The sequence below is a fragment of the Homo sapiens genome, chromosome 8 (assembly GCF_000001405.40).
Source record: "Homo sapiens chromosome 8, GRCh38.p14 Primary Assembly".
Classification (NCBI taxonomy): Eukaryota; Metazoa; Chordata; class Mammalia; order Primates; family Hominidae; genus Homo; species Homo sapiens.
In genome coordinates, this window is record NC_000008.11 from 35,554,919 (window position 1) to 35,581,250 (window position 26,332).

Sequence of the window (26,332 nt, forward strand, 5' to 3'; positions counted from 1 at the left end):
GGGATAAAAGGTTAATGGATTGTGTCAAGAAAAGGGAGAAGAATAGAAATAAAAATGTATTAAATCTTAAAAGTTTATATCTTAGAATGTTGCTCTGCTGGTAATGGGGATTTGAATATAGTATCTTCCAGAAAACCATTAATTTGAAAGTATCTTCAATGATTCACAAATCACTAAAGTACATTTGGGAAGCATATATTTTAGGCCACATAGCACAGAAATAATCTCTAAAGTGTTTTATTGACAGTTTGTGGGTTTCAAACTCACTTTTATGGAAGCCTTCTCCCTCCCCACCTTAGATTTCATCTTGTTCATCACTCTACTTCTCAGAGAAGACTGACATATTCTTAAAAGGTTTTCAGGAAAATGTTATGAATTCCCTACATAAACTGGTAGAGTATGAAGGCCTTGTTTCCTATAGCCAATTTAGCTTTTCCTACAAAAGGGAAATAAGAAGATTATTTACTCTCATCCATCCTTAGCAGTGACAGAAATCAGCTAATCACTTTATATAATTTAATAATGTCTGATATCGACCATACATCTGTCTCAAAGCCTAAATCCTTGACCAGTCTCTTTAGTTCACACATTAAGAAGTGTGTACATTGATTTAAAATACAAATTATAGGCAGGGCACGGTTGCTCATGCCTGTAATCCCAGCACTTTGGGAGGCCAAGGCAGGCAGATCACAAGGTCAAGAGATCAAGACCAGCCTGGCCAACATGGTGAAACCCTGTCTCTACTAAAAATACAAAAATTAGCTGGCCGTGGTGGCGCACACCTGTAGTCCCAGCTACTCGGGAGGCTGAGGCAGGAGAATCACTTGAACCCGAAAGGTAGAGGTTGCAGTGAGCTGAGATCGCACCACTGTACTCCAGCCTGCCAACAGAGCAAGACTCCACCTCAAAAAAATACAAAAAAAAAAAGAATAATTATAAAGATCTATAAAAAAACAGCACACACACACACACACACACACACACACACACACACACACACACACACAGAAAAAGAAACCTGAGGTTAGCCTAATGGTTAAGAACATGGGTTTTGGTGTAGAGGAAGCAATGTTTGAAATCAGGCTCTCCATTTACATACTTTTTCAGGTGGATGTGGAATTGAGCTTCCTTTCTCCTTGGTTCCTCCGTGTGTAAAATGGCAGTGATAATTGCATCCACAATCACATAGCACCTAATACATGTGACATGCTTAGCCCAGGGGCTAGTGTACAGCAATTGCTCAGTCAAGACTATCCCTCAAAATGATGAATATAAAATAGCTATTTTATTCTTCTTTTTGAATGAGACAAGTGTATGGTGAATATGATTCAAAAAACAAATATATAATCATAGAATTTTGCATTCCGAGAACATAACAGGGCTAATATTGGCAGGTAAATATTTGCCCTTTCTAGAGTATCATTGCCTTACTTGCATGCGATTCAGTCATTCAGGTCGCATTGTGTGTCTATGTTACCCTCAGAGTCCATGGCAGTGTTACAGAAAAGGGGTCCTGATCCAGACCCCAAGAGAGGGTTCTTGGATCTTGCTCAAGAAAGAATTCAGGGAAAGTCCACAGTGCAAAGTAAAAGCAAGTTTATTAAGAAAGTAAAGTGCTGAAAGTACAGCTACTCCATAGACAGAATAGGATGTTCCTGAAAGTAAGAGGAGGAACACATCCACTGTAGGTACAATGCTTGTATATGTGGGGAGATGTGCTCTGCTACAAGGGTTTGTGATAAAGGATTAATTTTCTTAATTACTATATTTTGCAAGAGTTGATATTATCTTTAAAGCAAAATTAGGAATGCCTTTGTTCTCCAGATATCAGGATATCTGGAGACTCCCAAGTCTGGGTTTGTTTAGTAAACATTATTAATTTGTTCCCCTAACCACCAACATCTAGAGACTAGGAATGCATATCTTTGTGGGAACACAGCCCTGCAAGTTCCAGCCTCATTTTCCTAGCCCTCACTCAAAATGGAGTTGCTCTGGTTTGAACACCTTTGATAGTAGCACTGTAGGTGATACAAGTGGTACAATATATGTCCTGACCTCAGGCCATAAGCTACTAGCAGGAGATGATTTCAGTGACTGCAGGAATGGAAAGTCATTGATTGAAGCAACAGGATTGGAAATCATGACCATGTTGCCCACCATGTTGTGAGTGTGATACGGGAGTAAGTCATTCATGGGATGCGTTTTCTAAACAACCTTTCCATGTCCACTTCCGCCTCTTCACTTTCTCTTCTTGCTATTGTCAGACAACACTATGAAGTTAATTTGCTTTCCTTTACCAGACACCTCTGAGCTGATTAATTCTAATCTCTTGTGTGGAAGAAACTGGAGAGCTTGGGTGTATTCTTTGTTTCTGTACTTAAGACTGAACTCGCGGTGCTTCTGAGGAATACGTGGAGTGCTTATTATCCTGGGAAAACAAAAGACTATTCATTAGGCATGGCGCACATGCACATTCAAAGGATAACTATTTTATTTTTGGTCAAGATACATTTTTAACTTGTTGCTAGGATAAAGTGATAAAAGACATTTAGCCCTAATTAATTATCTGCCAGTAAAATGAAACATTGTTCTGCCTTTTCATTTCTGTATTTAATTTACTACTTTCAGTACTATGTTGGCCTGAAGACATCTAAGCTCTCTCAAGATACGGAGGTACGGTTCCATGACATTTCTTCCCTATCTGTCAGTTTTGAAACTTCAAATGCGTGTGAGATACATGTGTCCTTAAAAGAGTCCCCGGAGCTGTGGTCTAGAAGGCAGGCTGTATATTTAATAAGGACACATCTTTCAAGTCATAGGTAGAATGGCACCCAGCCTCTTGTGTGATCTCGTAGCAGCTTGTGCTTCTGGTGTCATGGCTGTTGTCACATTGGGCATTGTTGGAGCATGTTAAAATGTCTCCCCCTCCAGGGCTGGGCACAGTGGCTCACGCATGTAATCCCAGCACTTTGGGAGGCCGAGGCGGGTGGATCACCTGAGATCAGAAGTTCAAGACCAGCCTGGTCAACAAGGTGAAACCCCGTCTCTACCAAATATACAAAAAGTAGCTGGATGTGGTGGTGGGCACCTATAATCCCTTGTGAGGCTGAGGCAGGAGAATCGCTTGAACCTGGGAGGTGGAGGTTGCAGTGAGCCAAGATCGTGCCACTGCACTCCAGCCTGGGCGACAAGAGTGAAACTTCGTCTCAAAAAAAAAAAAAAAAAAAAGTCTCCCCTTCCAACCCAGAAGCTCCTTGAGGGTAGGTATCTTGATGTTTTGCTTGTCGATGTATCCTCAGCACCTAACAGAGTGACAGACACATACAGGGTGCTCAATAATTGTCTTTCCAGCAAAACATGTCATAAAACTTATGACATCTTTGATTTATTGCTTATGGTAGGGGACCTGTGGCAAAATAATAATACTACAAAATAGAAATAATAGTAACACAATGTTAAGATAAAAGACCAAAATGCCTGTGATGGTATTAATAAAAATAAAGGGCCATGCAAATACTATATAACTAATAATGATAATAAAAATGTGTTATTCAAAATATGAGGGAGTATCTCATTGTTGAAGTATAGTTTTCGATGCTCTGATCTTGAAGCAGTAAGAGACAAATGGAAAACATTCCCTTATATAAGTGGAAGACTCACTTTTTCCATCTGAGTAAGAGAGGATACCTCAGCCAAATCCAGGCATCACAGGGGCTGAGAAATCTTGGGAGTTCATGGTTCTTTCAAGAAAACTCTTGAATATAAGAGAATATTGCTTTTCAGGCCGGGCGCAGTGGCTCACGCCTGTAATCCAAGCACTTTGGGAGGCCGAGGTGGGCGGGTCACTTGAGGCCTGGAGTTTCAGACCAGCCTGGCCAACAAGGCAAAACCTCATCTCTACTAAAAACACAAAAATTAGGTGGTCGTGATGGCGCATTCCTGTAATCCCAGCTACTTGGGAGGCTGAGGCACAAGTATTGCTTGAACTGAAAGGTGGAGGTTGCAGTGAGCCGAGATCGCAGCACTGTACTCCAGCTTGGGCAACAGAACAAGACTCTGTCTCCAGGGGAAAAAAAAAAAGTCTGTTGCTTTTCAAGAGAATTTGATTGCTTTGTTTCTCTCCCAGAGAACTGACCAAGGCCCAGCATTACTCATGAAGTTGTACTGGAGTAATTCTTTGGGACTTTGTCTACAAAAAATGGAATACTCATTTTCTCAGCCCCAATCATGAAGCGCTATAATGTGAACAAGGAGGTACAAAGAAAGTGAAACATTGAACTGAAAAGGTCCCGGAAAACAGGCACCAAGACTGGGACGAGATAAACCATTCTACCAAAACCTAGTTAGCTGGTCATTTACTGCTTCTGTATGGTTGGGGATATGAGAAACATCTTAGAGGGGAGGGATTCTCACTTCCTTCTTGAATCTATTGGTTCCGGTTGGTAAGCCAAGCATCCTACTACAGAGAACTTCCAAATGATTGAAGCAGTAAGGCTGAGTGGAGAGGCAAGCATTTGAGAACTGTGTCAAATTCCTCCCCAAGTGCCCATTACCAGGTGTGTTTGAGAACTGGCTGGAAACAGTAACCACAGCAGGATGCTGCTGATGGCTTTGTCAGTGCAATAATGAGTGGTGGATAAAAAGCTCAGGGCCAGGTGTTGGTAGGCACCGGGCTGGGGTTGGCATGGTACTGAATGTTAACTACTATTCCAGAATTCTCTATTTTGTCCAGAACAAGTTAGGATCCTAGACTATGACCATCACCCTTTTATTTAAAGTTGACCAGAAATAAAGCATTTTATTTATTTTCCCTTCTCCATTTCTTCCCTCCTCTTACATTTCTCTTCCTTGCACAGTGAAGCATATACCTTCAATTAGTTTGAAAATCCTCTAACTTTTAGTCTCCCAACAGGATTAGACCTGCTAAGAGTAACTAGTGTTTTCTATCTGATAAATAAGGGGATTATAGCAATAACTGCTGTCAGCATTTTTCTCATTTAAACAAATAAAGCTGACAAATGATGAAGTTCTGTGCTGCTCCATTATGTTTAGTACATGCAGAGCAATTAGTCATCTGCTGCCAACGTTAGTCTATCTACAACTAAACCATCCAACGGCCTAGAAAGCTTATTAGCATATCAGTACCATAGTCATATTTGTATATTCTCTAAGACTCTACTCCATAACAAAGGCTGATGGTTATAATTTGCACAATAATTTAAAGGGTTGGACTTTTCTATGCTTATTAGAGTCATGCCAGTTATCAGGTACAATTCTACTCTTATTTATGATATGCCATTTTTTATTTGCCTGGAACTTCTGCTCCCCTGTAGCATTTTCTATGAACAAGTTAGCTGCCATCTCTGGAGATACTGAAGTAAATAGCCGTTTCTGCAGGAACACTGTTAGATGAAATTCAGTGGAGGAAGAGCAATTTTCTTAAAGCCGCATTCCTTGGATATTTCTCATTTGTGAATATATCACGTATATGTATGCATATATGTGTATACACTCATGTACTATTACATATGTGTATAAGGGTATGTATGTATACATGCATACTGCCTATGTAAATGTGTATTTGTATGTATATCATTTGATCAGTGAGGATTTGAGAAAGAATGTATTTAAAAAATTGTTTGTCTTATTCAACAGTTATTTATTGTTATGGTGGGGGAAAATATAATACAAAGAATTCGTGATTTGCCAAGGCTTCTTTTAGAGGGGATGGTTTGATAAAACTGAAGACCTCATGTTAGAAGAAGGCCTAATCTAGAGAGATAATATACCTTTTGTGGGATGGTAATGTCACTTGTGGCCTTTTAAAGAAGCCTGCCACTCTGATGCCACTGGTTGGGAAAATACTGTGTTTGGGAGCAGTTGTTTTATATGCACTTTGCTCTGCTGATCACATGGGGAGCCTCTGCTGGTAACTGGGCCATCCTAATGTTGAAATCTTGACTTCAGCATTTTCCTCCCAACTGTGGTTAGCCTGAATGAGGGGTTACAAAACCTACTGACAAGAGTGGGGTAAGACAAGATATAATCTTCATAGTAGGGTGCCCTGGTCCCTTGTTTATGCTTTCCAAAGCACAATGTGCAGTTCTCTTTGTCTATGTGACCACCCTTTCTAGTTGGGGCCTTGCTCACCCTGTAGGGACTGCTCTGCCCAGGGCTGGCTAATTTTTAGAGAGATCAAACAACTTGCCTGTGAGTTTGCCTTTCATATGCAAACCAAGCAATCCAGAGGCCACACCCCTAACCACCATTTCTATGGAGCTCTTATACTCCAGATCACTGTTCCCCTGCCCTAACCCCAGGACTAGGTACCAGACAACTCGGGTACCAACAACGCCACAGAGCCCACTGACATTATGCAAGCTAGCCAATCCCAGCATATTGTTTCTTCCCATGCAAACCACAATGGAAAGGCCCTTGGCCACATGTTCCCCTACCAGTTCTGCCTCCTGAAAGACCCCCATGCTTCCCCATCTGGCTCTATGTGGCTTGCTGTGACTCCTGTCTCTCAGGACCTGTGAGTGTCAACTTCTTCCTTCATAAAAGTCACTTCCATATCTAAATCTCTTAAAATACTTTATTGAAAAAAAATCCTGGGTATTCTTAAAATACTATGGTGCCAAGATTAAATCATAGCAAGTTTTGTGTTTTGGATTTGGACATTCACTACTTTATAAACATGATAACCCTGAACCATTTTGAGATAGTGATTGTCTTCATTTCCAAGCTGAAAAAAATCATAGCTTAGATATTCTTATAAGATGAGGAAAGTGAAAAACATGAAAGTGCTTCCCATTAGCTTGAACCTATTCCTTTTTTTTAATTGATACATAATTTACATATTTTGGGGCACTTGTGATATTTTGATACATTCATAAAATGGCTAATAATCAAATAAGGATAATAGAAATATCCAGCACCTCAAACACTTATGTTTATGCTGGGAATATTCAAATTCCTCTTTTCTAGCTATTTTGAAATATGCAATAGATTATCGTTAACTAGTCACTGTACTGAACTGTCAAACACTGGATTTTAGTCCTTCTACTTAACTGTATTTTATTACCCATTCTTCAACCTGTCTTCTCTCCTCATCCCCCTTCTTGGCCTCTGGTAACCACCAGTCTACTCTCTATTTTCATGAGATCCACTTTTTCAGTTCCCACATATGAGTAAGAATGTGTGATATTTGTCTCTGCACTTGGCTTATTGCACTTAACATATGACCTCCAGTTTCATTCATGTTGCTACAAATGACAAGATTTTATTCCTTTGTATGGTTGAATAATATTTCATGATATATACCGCATTTTCTTCATCAATTCCTTTACTGATGGATACTTAGGATGATTCACGGGGTCGCAGATATCTCTTTGATATATTGATTTCCTTTTTAGGAGGATATATATGCCTAGTAGTGGGACTGTTGAATCATATGGAAGATATATTTTTAGTTTTTCAAGGAACCTTTATACTGTCTTCTATAGTGACTATATTAATTTACATCCCCAAAAATGGTGTATGAGGGTTCTCTGTCTCCACATTCTCTCTAGCACCTATCTTTTTTTGTCTTTTTGACACAAAACATTTTAACTGGGGTGAGATGTGGTTTTGATTTGCATTTCCCTGATGATTAGTGATGTTTGGCTATTTTAAAATATATATTTTTGGCCTTTTGATAAATGTCTTTTCAGGTCTTGATCTTTTGCCCATTTTTAAATCTTTTGTTCTGTTTTTTGCTATTGAGTGGTTTGAACTCCTCATATGTTCGGTTATTAATCCCTTGTCAGATAGATAGTTTGCAAATATTTTCTCATTTTCAGTGGGTTGTCTTTTAGTTATTTCCTTTGCTGTTCAGAAGCTTTTTAGCTTGATGTAATCCTATTTGTCTATTTTTACATTGGTTACCAGTGTTTTTAAGGACTTATTAAATAAATTTTTGCCTCAACCAGTGTCCTGGAGAGTTTCTTCAATGTTTTCTTTGAGTGATTTCATAGTTTCATATATTAGATTTGTTTTTATTTTGATCTGACTTTTGTATATGGTGACAGATAAGGGTCTAATTTCATTTTTCTGTATATGGATATCCAGTTTTCCCGGAACCATTTATTGAAGATACTATCCTTTCGTCAGAGTTCTTGGTGCCATTCAGAGTTTTTTATGGGTCCGTACAAATTTTAGGATAGCTTTTTCTATGTTTGAGAAAGAAGTCATTGGTATTTTAATAGGGAGTGTCTTGAATCTGTACATTGCTTTGTGTAGTATTGACATTTTAATAACATTAATTCTTGCAATCCATGAACATGGAATATCTTTACTTTTGTGTATGTCCTCTTCGATTTCTTTCACCAGAGTTTTATCATTTTCTTTGTGGAGATCTTCTATGTCTTTGGTTAAGTTCATTCCCAGGTATTTTTTGTGGGGGGTGGGGGGGTGGGGAGAGCTATTATAAATGAAATTGCTTTCTTGATTTCTTTTTCAGATTATTCATCACTAACATATTTAATTGCTACTGATATTTGTACATTGATTTTGTATTCTGCAACTCTATAGAATTTGGTTGTCAGTTCCAATGTTTCTTGGTGGACTCTACATTTTTCTAAATATAAGATCAAGTCATCTACAAACAAGGCTAATTTGACTTTTTCCTCTCCAAATGGATGCCTTTTATTTGTTTCTCTTGCCTGATTGCTCTGGCTAGGACTTCCAGTACTATGTTGAATGAAAATATAAAAGTGGACATCCTTGTTGTGTTTCAGATTAAGGGGAAAGGCTTTCAGTGTTTCTTTGTTCAGTAGGTTGTTAGCTGTAGGTTTGTCATATATGGCCTTTAATGTTTGAGGTATGTTCTTTCTATGTATAATTTTTCGAGGTTTTTATTATGAAGGGATGTTGAAATTTGTCAAATGCTTTTTCAGCATCTATTTAAATGATCATTTTTTCTTATTTTTGGTTCTGTTAATATGATGTGTCATGTTTATTGATTTGCATATGTTGAAGTGTCCTCACCTCTCTGAGATCAATCCTCCTTGATTATGGTTAATGATCCTTTAATGTGTTACTGAATTTGGTTTGCTAGTATTTCATTGAGGATCTGTGTTCATCAACTATATTGACATGTAGTTTTGTTGTTATTATTGTGTCTTTGTCTGATTTTGGTATCAGGGTAATGCTGCTCTCAAGTAATGAGTTTGGAAGTATTCTCTCCTCTTCAATTTTTTTTTTAATTTTTTGAGACTTGTTTTGTGGCCTACCCTATGGTCCATTCTGGAGAATATGTTATGTGCTGAAGAGATGAAAGTGTCTTCTTGTAGCAGCTGGGTAAAATGCTTAAACACATTTCTTACCTTAAAGGTTATTGAATGCTTCTTTGGTGAGACTCCACTTCTCAAAGTGTGGGTGTATTCTGCTTTAATAGGTCTCCCTGTTCTGCAATATAGGAGCTCTGGAATATTGAAGTCGCTTTACCTCCTCCTACCTGTATGCATTGATGGATGTTCTCTCTCCCACCTTTTACTCTTTAAAGGAGCTCATCGACCGTTTGCCCAGAGAGGAAAACATAAAGCAAGCCCTGTTCTCCAGAGCCTAGTGCCTCCATTTTACCTGCTCCACTTTACTTTCTAATATGCATGCTCCACTCCAGCTTGCTTTCTGTCCTAACAAACAAATAAATTAATGGCATTAGAGGTACGAGTGGTTTTTGGTTACACGGATGAATTGTATACTAGTGAAGTCTGGGCTTTTAATGTACCTGTCACCTAAATAGTGTACATTGTACCCCATAAGTAGTTTTATATCCCTCATCCTATCCAATCCTCCCCACTTCTGAGAATCCAGTGTCCATTATACCATCCTGTATGCCCCTGCATACCCATGGCTTGGCTCCCAATTATATGTGAAAACATGCAGTATTTGGTTTCCCATTCCTGAGCTACTTCATTTAGGAAAATGGTCTCCAGTTCCATCCAAGTTACTGCAAAATACATGATTTCATTGTTTTTTTGTGGCTGAGTGGCGCTCCATGATATGATACATTTTCTTTGTCCATTTATTTGTTGACGGGCCCTTAGCTTGATTCCCTATCTTTGCAATTATGAATTGTAGTACAATAAACATACAAATTCAGGTATCTTCTTGATATAATGACTTCGTTTTCTTTGGGTAGATACCCAGTAGTGGGATTACTGGATCAAGTGGTAGATCTACTTTAGTCTTTTGAGAAATCTCCATACTGTTTTCAACAGAGGTTTTACTGATTTACGCTTACAATAGTGTGTAACTATTCCCTTTTCACCACATCCATGCCAACATCTATTATTTTTTGACTTTTTAATAATGGTCATTTTGATTGGGGTAAGGTGGTAGCTTATGGTGGTTTTAATTTGCATTTCCTTATAATTAGTAATGTTGAGCATTTTTTTCTATCTTTGTTGGATACTTACATATCTTCTTTTGAAAACAATCTGTGTTGTTCGTCTACTTTTTGGTGGGATTATTTGTCTTTTCTTGCTGACTTGCTTGAGTCCCTTGTAGATTCTGGATATTATTTCTTTGTGAGATGTATAGTTTGCAAATATTTTCTCCTATTCTGTAGGTTGGCTATTTACTCTGTTATTTCTTTTGCTGTGGAAAAGCTTTTAAGTTTAAGTCTCATTTATTTTTGTTTTTATTGCATTTGCTTTTGGTTCTTAGTCATAAATTCTTTGCCTAGGCCAATGTCTACAATAATTTTTCTAGGTTTTCTTCTAAAATTTTTACAGCTTATGGTCCTACATTCAAGTCTTTAATCCAATTTGAGTTAATTGTTGTATATGGTGAGAGGGATCCAGTTTCATTCTTCTGCATTTGGTGATCCAGTTTACCCAGCACCATTTATTGAATTAGGGTGTCCTTTCCCCAGTATATGTTTTTGTCTGCTTCTAAGAAACTTTTTAAAAACCTTCCTTTATTTCCACTTTCTGTGACATTCTTCCCTCTTGCCTTTGCCTGCCAACTCTGCCTTCTCCTGGCCTTTGTCTGCCCATTCATATTTCTTCTTTCATTAAAGTGTAAACAAAGAAAAAACAAAGCAGCAGGAACAACATCATCATCATCTGTAAGGCTTCTTTTCTCCTATTTGATTTAGGAGTTGGCTTTCTGGACTCATAGTCTCTGACAGGGAAAACACAGTGCTTTTGTGCTTTCACAAACAGGGGAAATGTGAGTTACCAACTGTCATCAAGATGATTTTCTGTTACGTGGGTTCCTCCTACAAATTTAGAAAGTATACCTCAAACTGCACATGGTGACTTATGTGGCCATGACCATCTCTCATCACACATCATAAATAACACGTTATTAATTGAGTGGAAGGGAACGTTTCCCCAGCCTGACTAATCCTACACCTCCATTCTTGTTTTTTAAATCCTGAAACCAAGATATAATCATGATCCACCTCCTCCATCGAGAGTTCTGGACTCATTTTGATTATAGTGATGCTTCTATCCCCTGAATTTCTTTTGGACTTAAAGGAAAAAGCATAGTTAGGTACTTAATTTAAAAAAATAGTTCCATGTATTAACCTTATTGCCACAATCAAGTGTAAGTACTAAAATAAAGGAACAGAATTGAATTGTTAAGAGGCACCTGAGCATAGTGCTGGTTTTGGTGTGCGAACACCAGGCTCACACACCAGACCCTTCATTTACAAACGCTGACTGTGGACAAATGACGTAGCCTCCTGAGTCATAGTTCTTTCCTCTGCAAAGTAGGGACACAATAGCATGCACTGCCACAGAGTACCGTGGAAATGTAAAGAGCGCATAGGTTCGAGACTTATCATGACATGAGGCAATTAGATGGAATTCAATAAGCATTGCCTCTTTTTCTCCCAACCGGCCTATCCTAGAGCAAAGCACAACCTCAGAGAATGTGTGCTGGATGAAGAGGACGTGCTGGCTGTGAAGGCTGCTTCCCTGTTTGTGATGAGTTAACTGGTGAGGCAAGTGAGGTGCCCCTTCCATCCTTGGTACAGGACGACTGCTCATCCCAAAGAAAGAAAGGTTGATAGTCCTTGGTCAAAGGTGGAGAAGAAGCTCATGCTCTCCAGTTAGAAGCACCAGACAATTTGTTTAATTTTAGAAGGAGGATGTAAAGTAACAAAAAAAAAAAAAACCATTAAAAGGTTGTGGTCTTAATAGCTGCATCTCAGTTCACTGCTGTGCCCTTAGCCACTCTTTCTATAAAAACCCCCCTTTCTTCACCTCCTCATACCATTGCTATGGGGGCCTCCCTGGGTTCTCTTCTCAGGGCTTTAAGACTAACTTGGTTTATGTGTACTGCTATGATGTATCAATGAAAAAATACAGAAAAGCAAAAAATGTTTTAAGTGATGGATATCCCAGTTACTCTGATTTGATCAGTACATATTGTATACATGTATCAAAATATCACATGTGGCTGGGCACGGTGGCTTACACCTATAATCCCAGCATTTGGGGACGCCAAGATGGGAGGATTACTTGAGGCCAGAAATTCCAGACCAGCCTGGTCAACATAGTGAGATCCCCATCGCTTAAAAAAAAAATACTTATTTCAACTTGTCTCCTCTTTGTGCTCATTCCTTCTTTTGGTCCCATTGGCTTTGTTGTCCTGAGCCTTTGAATGCCGATGCCTTCGTCCTTCCTCAGATTTTCAGCCTGGTCACCCCATCTGCAAATGTTCACTGACTCCTCTTTCTTCTAAGCCAGACTGTTACAATGACTCACCCCAGCTGCCAAACCCAGACGTAGGGGCACTTAGAACAACTTGGAACTGTGTCCCTGGCATTGATTTGTGGAGGCCTCTTTGGCTTGGAGAATCCCAGCAATCAACATTGTGTAAAATCTATGAGGAATGTAGTACCAAAGAAAGACAAACAGCACTAAGTCAAGGTGCTGTGAGAACTATTCTATTGCATGGGAGCCGGAATTGGTTGATAATACTTTACACGTGTGCTTTCCAGCCTACTCAGCTGTTGAAATTTAATTAGCAGTAATATATTATTGTCAAAGTAATTAAAACCTTGCCTTGATTAAAAACAGGATTGTTTAATTAAAAAGAAAAGGTTTGGCTAACCTTAACTTTCTGTTTGAGAAATATAACAGCCTCAGCTGATTTGTCTCTTATCTCTCCCACCATCAGGTTTGAAGGTCCGCGAAGTGTTCATCAATGTTACTAGGCAACAGGTGGAGGACTTCCATGGGCCCGAGGACTATTGGTGCCAGTGTGTGGCGTGGAGCCACCTGGGTACCTCCAAGAGCAGGAAGGCCTCTGTGCGCATAGCCTGTAAGTACATTCTGGGTGACCTTGTCTTGTAGGACCACAAATGAGAGTTAAATAGAGCTGAAGAGAGGTTTTACAGATGTCAGATGCTTCTACAGAATGTAAATGAGAGGTCTTAAATTTACTCTTCTAAAATGTTATTTTAAAATGTTTGATAATTTCTGGCCAGGCGTGGCACAGTGGCTCACGCCTGTGATCCCAGCACTTTGGGAGGCCAAGGTGGGAGGATCACTTGAGATTAGGAGTTTGAGATGAGCCTGGCCAACATGGCAAAACCCCATCTCTACTAATAATACAAAAATTAGCTAGGTGTGGTGGTGTGCGTCTGTCGTCCCAGCTACTTGAGAGGCTGAGGCAAGAGAATCGCTTGAACCCAGGAGGTGGAGGTTGCAGGGAACTGAGATCGTGCCACTGCACTCCCACCTGGGTGACAGAACGAGAGAGACTCCATCTCAAAACATAAATAAATAAGTTTGATAATTTCCTCCAGAGTACATTCAGCAAATTAGTTTGGCTAGGAGATTCTGCCTAGACAGTCGGAGTGCAGGTGTCTCAACAATGCCAGGGAAAACCTGTTCCTGAGAGAATGAAATTCATGCAAATGGATTCTGCTGTTCACCGTCAATGACAAAGTTCAAGGGGCACTTATGGGAAAAGTTGAGCAATGACTGTTTACTTTCCAGCAAATCTGCAAGAATACTACATTAAAGACATTAAGGGATTTTTATAACCTACTGTTCAATCTCTTCTCTCTGAATCTTAAAACATGGAAATGGGTTTTAAAACTGCATTAGTTTGACCCAAGTAGGACTAAAAAAAAAAAAAAAAAAATACACACTTGGAAAAAAGTATGAAAGAAAGAAAATTGCTTTTCAGAAGGGTCCAATATTTCTTTATCATATTTCAGCATCAGTGTTTTTATAATTTTAAAAAAGTTTCATAAATACACAAACTTTTTTTCTCCTCCTTGCAAATGTCTTCAGCCCTCCCACTTCCATTATTCCACCTCCATGGATCCCCATAAAACCTCTTTTGTGTGCCTGGGATGGTAAAATCACCTCCAGAAAGAAATTGGGAGATAGGGGAAGAGATGGTTATTGTTGTTTTATTCAAATACTGCCTTTTGAGAGTGTCATGAAGAATACAGGATGAGAGACTGCAGCAGATGTTGATGGTTTAGAGATTAATAATAGGAGTGAATTGCTATTTGCAGAGACATTTATGTTCCCAGGGGGAATGAAATCTTCCTCTCAAAACACACATGTCACCTTCATTCTACTGGCAATTTGGGGAGGCCCTCTCCTGGGTATTGCCTGAGTTCTGATAGGCCAGGGAGAAGAGGTCACCTCACAAGCCAGGCTCTTGGTGTGAGAGCCAAGGGAAATATTTTCCTATAGTTATTTAGTTAATTAATTTTAGCCAACAATTATTTTATGACTTTAAAGTAGCAGGCCAGCTGAGAGAGAGAATATGTTTGCATTTAATCTCATCTTAAGTTCATGTCTGTGCTCCCAGCATGGTCTCAATCAGGCCAGCCAGGGCATCTGACTTGAGTCAAGATAAAATAGGTAATTTCAAGGCTCTATCTGCAAAACAGCAGAGGGGATTTCAATATAGACCCCCTCAATTTTTTTCTGCTCACCCTCACTTTTTCCTTTCCTGTTCTTCACTTCTCTGAGGCCCACATGACCTATACTCTGAACTACTGTAAATAGCTTCTCCCTGATCTCTGCACATGCCTGTCCTCCCCATCTCTGTCCTTCTTGCTCACTTAATTCTTCATTGCGACTTGCCTGCTGGAAACTTCCAGGGGTTTTGTCCAGGGAAAAACCTTGTTTTTGCTTACAAAATGTTGCAAAGACTGGCTCAAATACACCTTTGTTAGTTTCCCGTTGCCATTCATGGTGTATAGTATTATCGGTCCTTCTAAACGCTTTGCTCTTCTGCATGTCACCCTCGCATGTCTGACGTGTGCCATCACACCTGCAGTTTCTACTTTCACACATGCGTCGCATGGGGAGGAACCCAGACTCCAGAGTCCTGTTGGTTTCCAACTTCAGTTCTACTACTTAGTTTTGTGATGGTAGAAAAATTATTTCATCTCTGTGTCTTAATGTTTTCATTGATAAAAGGGTGCCTGGTTCATAGAATTATTTTCATAGTTAAAGTTAAACTATATCTAAAACTGTGCCTGGCACATATGAGCATTTATCAATCATCGGCTATTATTTTATGATATATTTGATTCTCCACCACCATCTTTCATTTGCAGGTGTCTTAATCCTTATTTAAACAAATTGAATTAAAATTTTAGTAACCTAGTAATTTTTCTTTAGATTATGGATTCTATAAAAATTTATTCTGGATCAGCCCTCAGTCCCCAACTCTCCCAGGCATGAGAGAATAAACAATGTGAAAAATAGAAAACACTTAGCCCGGGCACGGTGGCTCACTCCTGTAATCCCAGCACTTTCGGAGGCCAAGGTGGGTGGATCACCTGAGGTCAGGAGTTCAAGACCAGCCTGACCAACATGGAGAAACCCCATCTCTACTGAAAAAAAAAGAAAAAATTAGCCAGGTATGGTGGCATATGCCTATAATCCCAGCTACTCGGGAGGCTGAGGTAGGAGAATCACTTGAACCCGGGAGGCAGAGTTTGCAGTGAGCTGAGATCACACCATTGTACTCCAGCCTGGGCAACAAGAGCCAAACTCCATCAAGAAAGAAAGAAAGAGAGAGAGAGAGAAAGAATGTAAAATATATATGGACTTAAAATATATATATACACATAGAGAGAGAGAAATGGGGTTTGCTATGTTGCCCAGGCTGCTTGAATTCCTGGCCTCAAGCAGTTTTTTCTCCTCAGCCTCCCAAAGTGCTGGGATTACAGGCATGAACGACTGAGCCTAGCCCCAGAGAACACTGTTCTATCACTTCCCACCTTTTTAGAATCATAAAATATTTTTGTGGTAATAAGCTCCCAAGTTGTTTTAGAGATTTAAAAACTATTTTGTCACTCTTCTGTATCTGTATCAAAGATGTAATAAAGATGTGATTTCTAAATAAAAATATGTCTGAATATTATTAAAGCCTAAATTATCCAATGTACTTAATATAATCTCTAATATTTGCAACACATACTTAGTTTCTTCTCATGTAGCAAGTGAGAGGTTTTTTAATTTATTTAAAATTATTTATGCAAGTCAAGACATGATTTGTCATTAAATATTGCATTTGACTTGGGGACCAGTGTACATTAAAATGCAAATTGAAATTTAACTAGTGTAATGGCATCAAAAGTCAGGGGGGTGGGGGAGTTGCCTTTAGGACCTTGCCTAGAATTCTTTTGATTTGCTTGCAGGGAAAAGAAAAAATCCACTTTAGAGAAAAATGTCTTTCATTCTATATGGGGATGAGAGAGATTTCTCGCTGCTATTTGTAAGCACTTTCCTGCAAGTGACACACTGTGTGTGAGGATCGTCTTTATTCCCAATACATGAAAAGCTAAATTGGATATAATTCACTATGTTTCTTCTTTTAAAGATTGGTTTTTGAAATACTAGAGACATCTTAATGTGCTAAATGAGGATTTTGATAGATGAATGTAGCTTATGAATCTGATGACAATCATCTTGAGGGGGCTTTGCAAAATTGGTATCCTTTTAATATTGTTCATTAAATTGTTGGAGTTCACCATCAGAGCTCCTTATGTTTCCTGCGTTTAAACAATTATCCAGCAAGAATTACCAATTTTAAAACTGCCATGGGCCGGGTACAGTGGCTCACGCCTGTAATCCCAACACTTTGGAAGGCCGAGGCAGGTGGAATGCTCGAGCCTAGGAGTTCGAGACCAGCCTGGCCAACATGTCGAAACCCCGTCTTTACAAAAAATTACAGAAATTAGGCAGGCACAGTGGCATGTGCCTGTGGTCCCAGCTACTTGGGAGGCTGAGGTGGGAGGATCGTTTGAGCCCGGGAGGTGGAGGTTGTAGTGAGCTGAGATTGTGCCATTGCACTCCAGCCTGAGCGAGACTGTCAAAAAAAAAAAAAAAAAAAAAAAAACCCACACAAAACAAGCAAAAAACTGAAAAAAACTGCATGGGCTTAACCTCTATGGCATCTGGGACAATTCAGCTGAGGGATCCATTGACACGTAGGGTCTTGACATGATCACCTTAGCCAATGTTTACAAAAACACCAGGAAGCTCATTGGAATAATACCACTTTCAGATCATTTGATTTTAAAGGGAAATAATATGAACAAAAAAATTTATATAATGCATGTATTCACTGAAATGGATTTCCATGGGGTATTAAGTTAAATATTCAGAGTCCTAGCTTTCACCCCAGGCTTTCAGATTGAGACTGGAGAAAGGACCTAGAAAGGCATGTTTGTATCAAGTTGTATCCAGGTGATTCTATGATCACCTTTGAGCTGTCTTGCCCAGAAGCAGTGTTTCTCAAACTTTAACATGCATGCAAATCAACCAGGATGCTATTAAAATGCTGGTGATTCAGTTAAAATAATTCAGTATGGCTGGTATGAGGCCTGCAATTTTATATTTCTTTTTTTTTTTTTTTTTGAGATGGAGTCTCTCTCTGTCGCCCAGGCTGGAGTGCAGTGGTGCGATCTGGGCTCACTGCAAGCTCCGCCTCCAGGGTTCACGCCATTCTCCTCCCTCAGCCTCCCACGCAGCTGGGACTACAGGCGCCCGCCACCACGCCCGGCTAATTTTTTATATTTTTAGTAGAGACGGGGTTTCACCGTGTTAGCCAGGATGGTCTCGATCTCCTGACCTCGTGATCCGCCTGCATCAGCCTCCCAAAGTGCTGGGATTACAGGCGTGAGCCACCGCGCCTAGCGCAATTTTATATTTCTGATGAACTCCCTGGATACCTACAGATGCTGCCAGTGGGTCTGTGGGACATACTTTTAGTAACAAGACCCTAGAATATGTTTCTGAAGCACTATTTGGAAAATGTTGATTTAACCATTCACCCAAATTCCTCATTTAACAGCTGGGAAAGTGATGTTTCAAAAGGCAAAAGGTTAGGTGAGCTGGATATGTTGGTGCGTGCCTGTAGTCATGGCTACTCAGGAGGCTGAGGCAGGAGGATCACTTGAGCCTAGGAGTTTTGGGGCTGTTGTCTGCTATGATCGCGCCTGTGAATAGCCACTGCACTCCAGCCTGGGGCACACAGCAAGAACCCATCTCTTAGGAAAGAAAAAGAAAAGAAAAAAAAGTTAGGTGATCAAAGGTCACCCAGCTGATACCAACATGGAACCAGGTCCTGAATCTTTCAAACTCTCACCCTGAGTGCTGTTGGCACTAAGGTATGTTGATCCTTTTCTGTTACGTGGGAGTTTAAAAACCATAATAGAAAAAAGTTCATGTACATTTGAGTGTTTCCTTGAAGAAAGCTGTAATAGCTTTCCTTTCTGATTCTGTTTAAGAGTAAATTGTATTCCTCCTCATGGTCCAGTTGTGTGTGTGTGTGTACACATGCATGCATGCACACACACATTTTGTTTTAGGAGCCAAAGTGCCTGTTATCTTAAACTATTGTTTTTTTCCTTAATAATTTCACACTGTGTCAGGAAGATGTTGGCTGCTGTCCAACTGCCTGGGGCTGGAAATTGCGGAGGCCTAGTTTCAAAAGTGATTTTATAAAGGTAAAAATAAATAAATAAAGCCAACCTACATTTACCCCACAAAATTGGCAGAAGTCTATCTCTAGGGAACAACTCCCACGGGCCTCCTCTCGTTTGTCTGGTTCAATAGAGCCAGAGATAGACGGGCACGCCATGGCATCTGTTACTTCTGCTGCTGGACGGTTGTCAAAACTAGGAATATTCAATTATTTGTAGTTGTTTATTTTCATGTGTGAACATTTGGCTGCCTAGCCCTTTATTTTCTTCCCTGTTTTTCTCCTTCTTCTTCATCTGCTTATAAAATATTGGGCCTATACCACTAACCCTTGGCCGGGCAAACTTTTCTTAACACTTGGGCCTTTTCTCCCATATGACTGTTGGGATTGGAGAAGAAAGGGAATGTTTGCCTGTTTTAGTCAAGCCTGTTATAGCAAGTTAGCCACTTGAAAGAAAACACAGCAGAAAACCACTATTTTGTTTGTTTGTTTTTTAATGTATAAAATGTGATACATCCTGAATATAATTTAAATATGCTGCTGATTTAAGACACCCCTAAAATAGCTATGCAATTGTGCCAAGAAGGAGTAAAGAAATTAAAAGAGAATTTCATTCAAAAGCTTTGAAACTCCCATAGTCAAAGAAGTATTATTTTCATTTGCTTTTTGAAGGGTAAAAATTTTTTGAAAATGATGGAAGAGAGACATCAAATGAAACCTCAATTATGGATCTTGGCTTCATGGCTTTGACAAATAATTTCTTACTAAAAACTGTTAATGGCCCTCTGCTACCCACAAATTTGAATATGTAAATAAATACATCTAGGCACATCTTCCTGGCTTACAGATGCAGCCTTCCTGTACATTTCCATTCTTATCTCCAATGATATCCCTGCAAGTGTTCTTTGTCCACCTTAGTGGCATGACCTAGATGCTTAGAGTCTAGGATGTGGGACTCATTTTCCCCTCCTTGACTTGCTTATCTATTTTTTTTTTATCCTTGGAACATATTCTGTGGCCCATCTCACACTCCAATCTCTCCCTAAATCCAAGGGCCATCTTGCATGCTGTTTCCTTCACAAAACCTAGTTTAGCAAATCCCCTATCACTTGTTGATCTCAGCAGCCTCACATACCAACTAAGTCATTGAAAGGAATGCTCTGTGGCACCCCCAGCTTCAAAATTTCATAAATTCTAAGTGTCTAACTGAGTTTTCAAAGCATCGATTTAGTACTTCTACCACACTACTTAAAATACCCCGAATGATAGTTATTTTGAAGGTATTTGTGGATTTATGTCCCTAGTTAGATCGTAAACTGCTTGAGGATTCAACCTGCATTACCCTTTTTCTTGACTCCTTAGCCTAGTACACAATCATGTATATTACCTTTGTTTTATAAATGTGTTTGGCTTGAAAAGCAACCCTGCCAGTGTAGGATATGGCTCTAGAAAAAGACCTTTGTTAGCTGTAGGTCATGATTGCACCATGGATCTAACATGGCATCTGGCTTCTTAGTGAATTCATAGCTTACATTGACAGATAAGGGCCAACTTTGTCCTTTCTTGTTTGTGCACTCCTAACAGTACTACAATGAAGCCATTCTAAAATGGGAATGGAAGTTAGGAAGCATGAGAATCACTAACTCTCTGTTGTTCAGTGTACAGCTCTGGAAGAGGCCTAAACTGCCCATAATACCTCCACTGCTCCCTTCCTATCTGTTCAGAATGTGGATATATTCCCATGGCATGGAACATAATATTAAGACCGATGCTCAACACTTGGTATAAATCATACAAAAGCTTGAAACTCTCCTTCCTCTCCCATGGAAAAACAAGTGTCCAAAGCCAAGAGACAATATTATTCTACTCTGTAAATGCTCAGTCCTTTTCCATGGACTGAAATTAATATATAGGAATACTATTGCAGGGTTTGAAAGTCTGGACCTCTAAATAAAGTTGTGCATCTAGCCAAGTAATCGCATCTAGCCCGGTAAAAAAAAAAATGAGTGTTGAAATACAGCTCCTCTCACATTCCGGAGTATGCATTCACTAGCCAAGATGCACACTCTAGAATGTGATTTCATCCACCTGAAGGAAGAGGAGGCTAGTTTTCCTGGGCACATAGGTACTGTTTTCTCACCAGGCCTTGTGCCTGTGGGTGTCCAGTTTACACAAAGGTACCACATAGACTTTTTGCAGCAGTCCTGTGTACATAATTTGCAGGACCCAATGCAAAATGAAAATATGGAGCCCTTTGTTCAAACGTTATTAAGAGTTTTGAGTGATCAACAGCAAGTGCATTAAATCAAGCATGGAACTCTGTGTGACTGCATGGGTCACACATCCATGAAGTTGGCTCTGGTGTCAGTAATGGTGATGGTTCAAGAAATCATTTCAAATATGCAGTTGTTACATAAAAAGCAAATAACTGGCCTGGAAAAGGTAGGTATGAATTCAAACTGTCTGATGTTGAATTGGGACAGGATTATTCTGTTTTGATTGAACGCCAGAGGCAGCATCACATGAGCTGACTTTTAAGGTGGCACATTTGGGGTTGAGCTAACAACTAGAAATGCCCATTGATGAGACAGTGTTTCTATGGCCACAGCTCCCTATAAACTGTACATAAATAGGCAAGGAATACATGTCTGGCAGTGATACTGGGGAAGGAATCCTGCATTCAATAAGTAGGTGAGATATGGACTAACAGAGTTGTTTGTTTGTTTGTTTGTTTGTTTGTTTTGAGACAGAGTCTCACTCTGTCACCCAGGCTGGAGTGCAGTGGCACAATCACGGCTCACTGCAAGCTCTACCTCCTGGGTTCATGCCATTCTCCTGCCTCAGCCTCCTGAGTAGCTGGGACTACAGGTGCCTGCCACCAGGCCCAGCTAACTTTTTTGTATTTTTAGTAGAGATGGGGTTTCACTATGTTATCCAGGATGGTCTCGATCTCCTGACCTCGTGATCCTCCCGCCTCGGCCTCCCAAAGTGCTAGGATTACAGGCATGAGCCACCGCGCCTGGCAACTAACAGAGTTTTAAAACATTTGACGTAATTTCAGACTTTCAGAAAAGTTGCAATATATACAAAGAATTCCCTTAAGCCCTTTACTGAGAATCTTCAGATGTTAACATTTTACTATGTTAGCGTGATCTCTTTCTGTGTTTATCTATATGTTTATTTATATAGAGAAAATTAAATTTTTTTCAGAAGTGTTTTAGATTAAGGTGCAGATATGATACCCCCTTGTTTGTAAATACTTCATGGTGTGTGTTTTAAAATCAAGGACATTTTCTGACATAACTAGTATCATTATCAATAATTTGACAAAATACTATTATCTATTCTAGGGGCATTATCTTAGTTTATCAGTTATGCAATAATGTCCTTTAATAACAAATTCCTAGATCATGTGTTACATTCAGTTGTGAGGTCAGTTTAGCCTTCTTTAATCTGGATAAGTTCCTGATCTTCCTTTGTCTTTGATGATGTTGTGTTTTTGGAGAGTGAAGGTCCATTGTTCTATTTACTGCCCCTCTATTTGAACATGGGAAAAGGAAGCAGCACCCCTGAGGGGGCTCCCACTCACCAAATCTGGGACAACTTGAGCATCAAAATAAATGATAGCAAAGATTATAGCTCATGAAATACGAATCCATGAATCTACACTGATGTTTTAAAAGATGAATGAATGAATGAACATATAAGTAAATGGCACAAGGAAGAGCTCTTTCTTATTGTAAAGACATCTGTGAAATATGAATTGATTCACACAAACATCAGCATGGAGGCTAAAACTAATGGGTGAAAGTTTCAGGAAAACTGGATATTTATATAATCTGGATGTATCACTTCACAAGATACTTATTAATTACAAAGGGGTAACTAGATAATAGCATTGCAAAGGAAAATCCTGTAGTACACCACTTTGATCAAGTAATCAATGTTAATGTCACCGAAAATGGGTCAAATCAACAGCATGTGATTTGATGTGATATCCTGATGTGATAGGCCCAGGAGACTACATCACTTCAATGATATCCTTAGAAAAATGTGACCTGGCGCAGTAGCTCATGCCTGTAATCCTAACACTTTGGGAGGCTGGGGCGGATGGATCACTTGAGGTCAGGAGTTGGAGACCAGCCTGGCCAACATGGTGAAACCTCATCTCTACTAAACATATAAAAATTAGCTAGGTGTGGTGGTGCCTGCCTGTAATCCCAGCTGCTCAGGAGGCTGAGATAGGAGAATCGCTTGAACCCAGGAGGCTCAGGTTGCAGTGAGCAGAAATCATGTCATTGCACTCCAGCCTGCGGGACAAGAGCAAAACTCTGTCTCAAAAAAAAAAAAAAAAAAGAAAGAAAAAAGAAAAACTCTGTCTCAAAAAAAAAAAAGAAAGAGAAAAGAAAAATTTTTAATCTTCCTATGGTTAAAAATGTTTAACCATAGGAAGGCATTACACATACCTGTGTCGAGGAACTTTTTAAGTAATGGCTCATTTAACTGTGTTTCTCAAAATGCTGTCTACATGTGGGATACTGCTTGGTGCTCCAGGAATATAGGAAGCCACCAGATAGACATGGCACATGTTTCTGAAGCATCAATCATATTCCCCTTTAGATCTGCGAAAATAAAACATGGATACAGTATGGAGTGAAATGCAAATGCTTGCATAAATTTTGAAGATATAATTTGAAACTTCAAAGTTACTTTGTGCCTGCCACATCTTTTTAGTTTCCATCCGTAGATGGCATGGGGTTAATCAATTTTTCTCCTTTTTTAGTAGAAGCATTTTAATAGACAGTGTGAGCAACACTGAACTGTAAGAGACTCTGGTTCTAGGAACAGAGAATAACTCGTATGTAATTGATATAAGTTGTGCTACTTTTGCTTAATTAACACATGCACAGTGAAGAACACCAAGACGGGAACCACTAAGGCAGAAGTGTATTCCACCACATCTTACTGTGGATGGTGAAAAAGACAGTTTCCCCAAATAGTATTCCTTCATACTATTTATTGCCAACGATTATTTTACCAAGAAGAATTTGCAGAAATATAGCTACCACCTTTGAAGGAAATCACAGCTTAATTCAGTCTGCCATTCTTATGGTGAAATTCACCTTAAAAGTTCCTGGAAGATGGCCATTTCCATAAAAACCTCAGTAGAAGTTTATCAGGGGAGAGGATATAGATTTTATTTCAATTCAACTCTCATTTTCTCCACTGAAGGAAACTTCCAACAGATAATACAAACAGCTGATAAGCAAAACAAACAAAATAATATTACCTTAGTTAATCTTTGGGGATTCTTTGAGCCTAGGAATGTCATCTTAGATTATTTCACATCCTTCCACCAGCTAAGTAAGGATGAGAAGATGCATTCCAGAAACTTGCCAAGTGGTGAAAGAATACTAACTAAGGTGTAACAGTATCAGGCATCCATGGGTAATTATCTAGCATGTTCTAGGCAGCACGATAATTAATAAAATATTGTCCATTTCTTTGAAGAGTTTATAATAAGGGAAATACAAACAAGTGTTTTCATGGAATCTGGTTTGTGGTAGGCACAATATATTTTAGGAGCCACCAAGAGTGACAATTTACTGATCCCTGAGGCCTAAGATACACTTCCTGAGTCAATGTCTGAGCTAAATCCTTAGGAAGAAGGAGGAGTAACAATTTAGAGTGAGCATTCCAAGTAAAGGAAAGTGTTTGAGTCCATCCATCCAGGATGGAACATCATGTGACCTATGTGGGAAAGCAAGCAACACAGTACTTGTAGTGAATGAATCTCAAGATGGCAGAAGATGGTGCTACCAAAGAGAAGTGAACAGGACAAATTATGGAGGGTGTTCAAATTCTCTGCTAAGTGTTTAGATTTGTCCAGAATGTAGTTTGGGGCCATTGAAATGTCATAGGCAAGGCAGTGATGCTATCATACTTTCCAAACTCTCAACCCTCCCATTCACTGCTGTCAAAGATTTAAGGGGAGCAAGAGTCAACTCAAGGAAGCTTTGCACCAATCTTTGAGAGTGTTGATATGGCCTGAACTTCTGCAGGCATAGCATAGGTTGAAGAGGAAGGTACAAATGTGAGGATTCAGGAACGTAAAATTAGCTAGAGTTTATGGCTGCTTAGATATGGAACTAAGGGGAAGTAAGAGAGGAGTTTGGGGACTCCTCCAAGTTTTGGGCTCGCTAGGTTTCTGGCTCAAATTATTCCATTAAGTAGGTTATGAATAGGGTAAAATAAACCAGTTTGAAGAATGAGATACTGGTTTTAGTTTTTGATCATGTCATGTGTGAACTACCTGTGGAATATTCAATGGACTGCTTTCATCATGCTGTTGTATTTATGAGCCTGAATTTCAAGGATATGAGAGCAGAATCAAAAATACAGAATTGAGAGTCACTGGCAAGTAGGTGGTAGTTAGGTGAGTAGACATCTGTCAGGAAGATAGAAGGAGCAGGCTGTTATGAGAACTAGCTACATTTTTTTCTGTACTACACAATCTCTACCTTAGTCCTCAGCTCTCAAATTGCTGATGAGGAAAAAAAACAAAAACAAAAACAAAAAAACAACCAGCAGAACATGAGTGAAAATCTGTAAATGGTCAAGGGGTGAACACAGGAGAAGAATCCCATGAATAAGACTGAAAGAAAAAAAAAAGTAGAACAGGCACTAGGAGACCCATGAGGGAGAAGGGAAAGATTTATGAAGGAAGAAATGGTCAGTGGTGTCAATGTGATCTGACAATTGGAGTAAGAAGTGAGAAGTTTTGTTACATTTGACGTGAAGGGCTCCATCGACTTGAACAAAACAATGTAATGAGCCAGGGTGATAGGAGATTAGTGTGGATGTAGGAATCTATAGGAGAGGAGAAAGCAGAGATGATGTAGTCAACTCCTTCCCAAAGTTTGACTAAAGAGAGCACAGTTGGAACAATAGCTAGAGTTAATGATTTGAGGAATAGATGGGAATTTAATATCAGCATGAAGATGAAATGGCTTGTATTTTTAAAAAGTGTAGAGAGGGAATAGGAGTTACAGAGTGAGGAAGTAGAGGTCAGAAGAGCTGGGTTCAAGTTCTGGGACCAACTATTCAGTTTTGTGCACTTTCAGAGTGACTCCTGATACCGGCCACACATGAGAATCACATGGGGAACTTTTAAAAATTAAGATTCCAGGGTCTCACTCAGGACCTTTAGAATCCTCATCTCTGGAAGGAGGGCTTGGTTTTACTGTCTTCTGGTTTTCCTTCTTCTCATTGACCACAGTTGAATCTTCTGTCCAGATTCCTTCTCTTCCCACCTGTAAATATTGTAGTATTCTAGATCTCCATCTTGAGGCCTCTTCCCTCC

General features: G+C 39.5%; 1 protein-coding gene across 18 annotated transcripts in view; it reads left to right on the top strand.

Moving 5' to 3' along the window:
* Window positions 1–26,332, top strand: part of UNC5D (unc-5 netrin receptor D) — a 561,066-nt gene that overhangs the window by 319,444 nt on the left and 215,290 nt on the right. For all 18 annotated transcript variants that reach the window (NM_001438417.1, NM_001438418.1, NM_080872.4 and 15 more), the window contains exon 3: window positions 13,180–13,323. In NM_001438417.1, coding sequence (NP_001425346.1) covers window positions 13,180–13,323 — 144 coding nt within the window. The remainder of the gene's footprint in view (window positions 1–13,179; window positions 13,324–26,332) is intronic.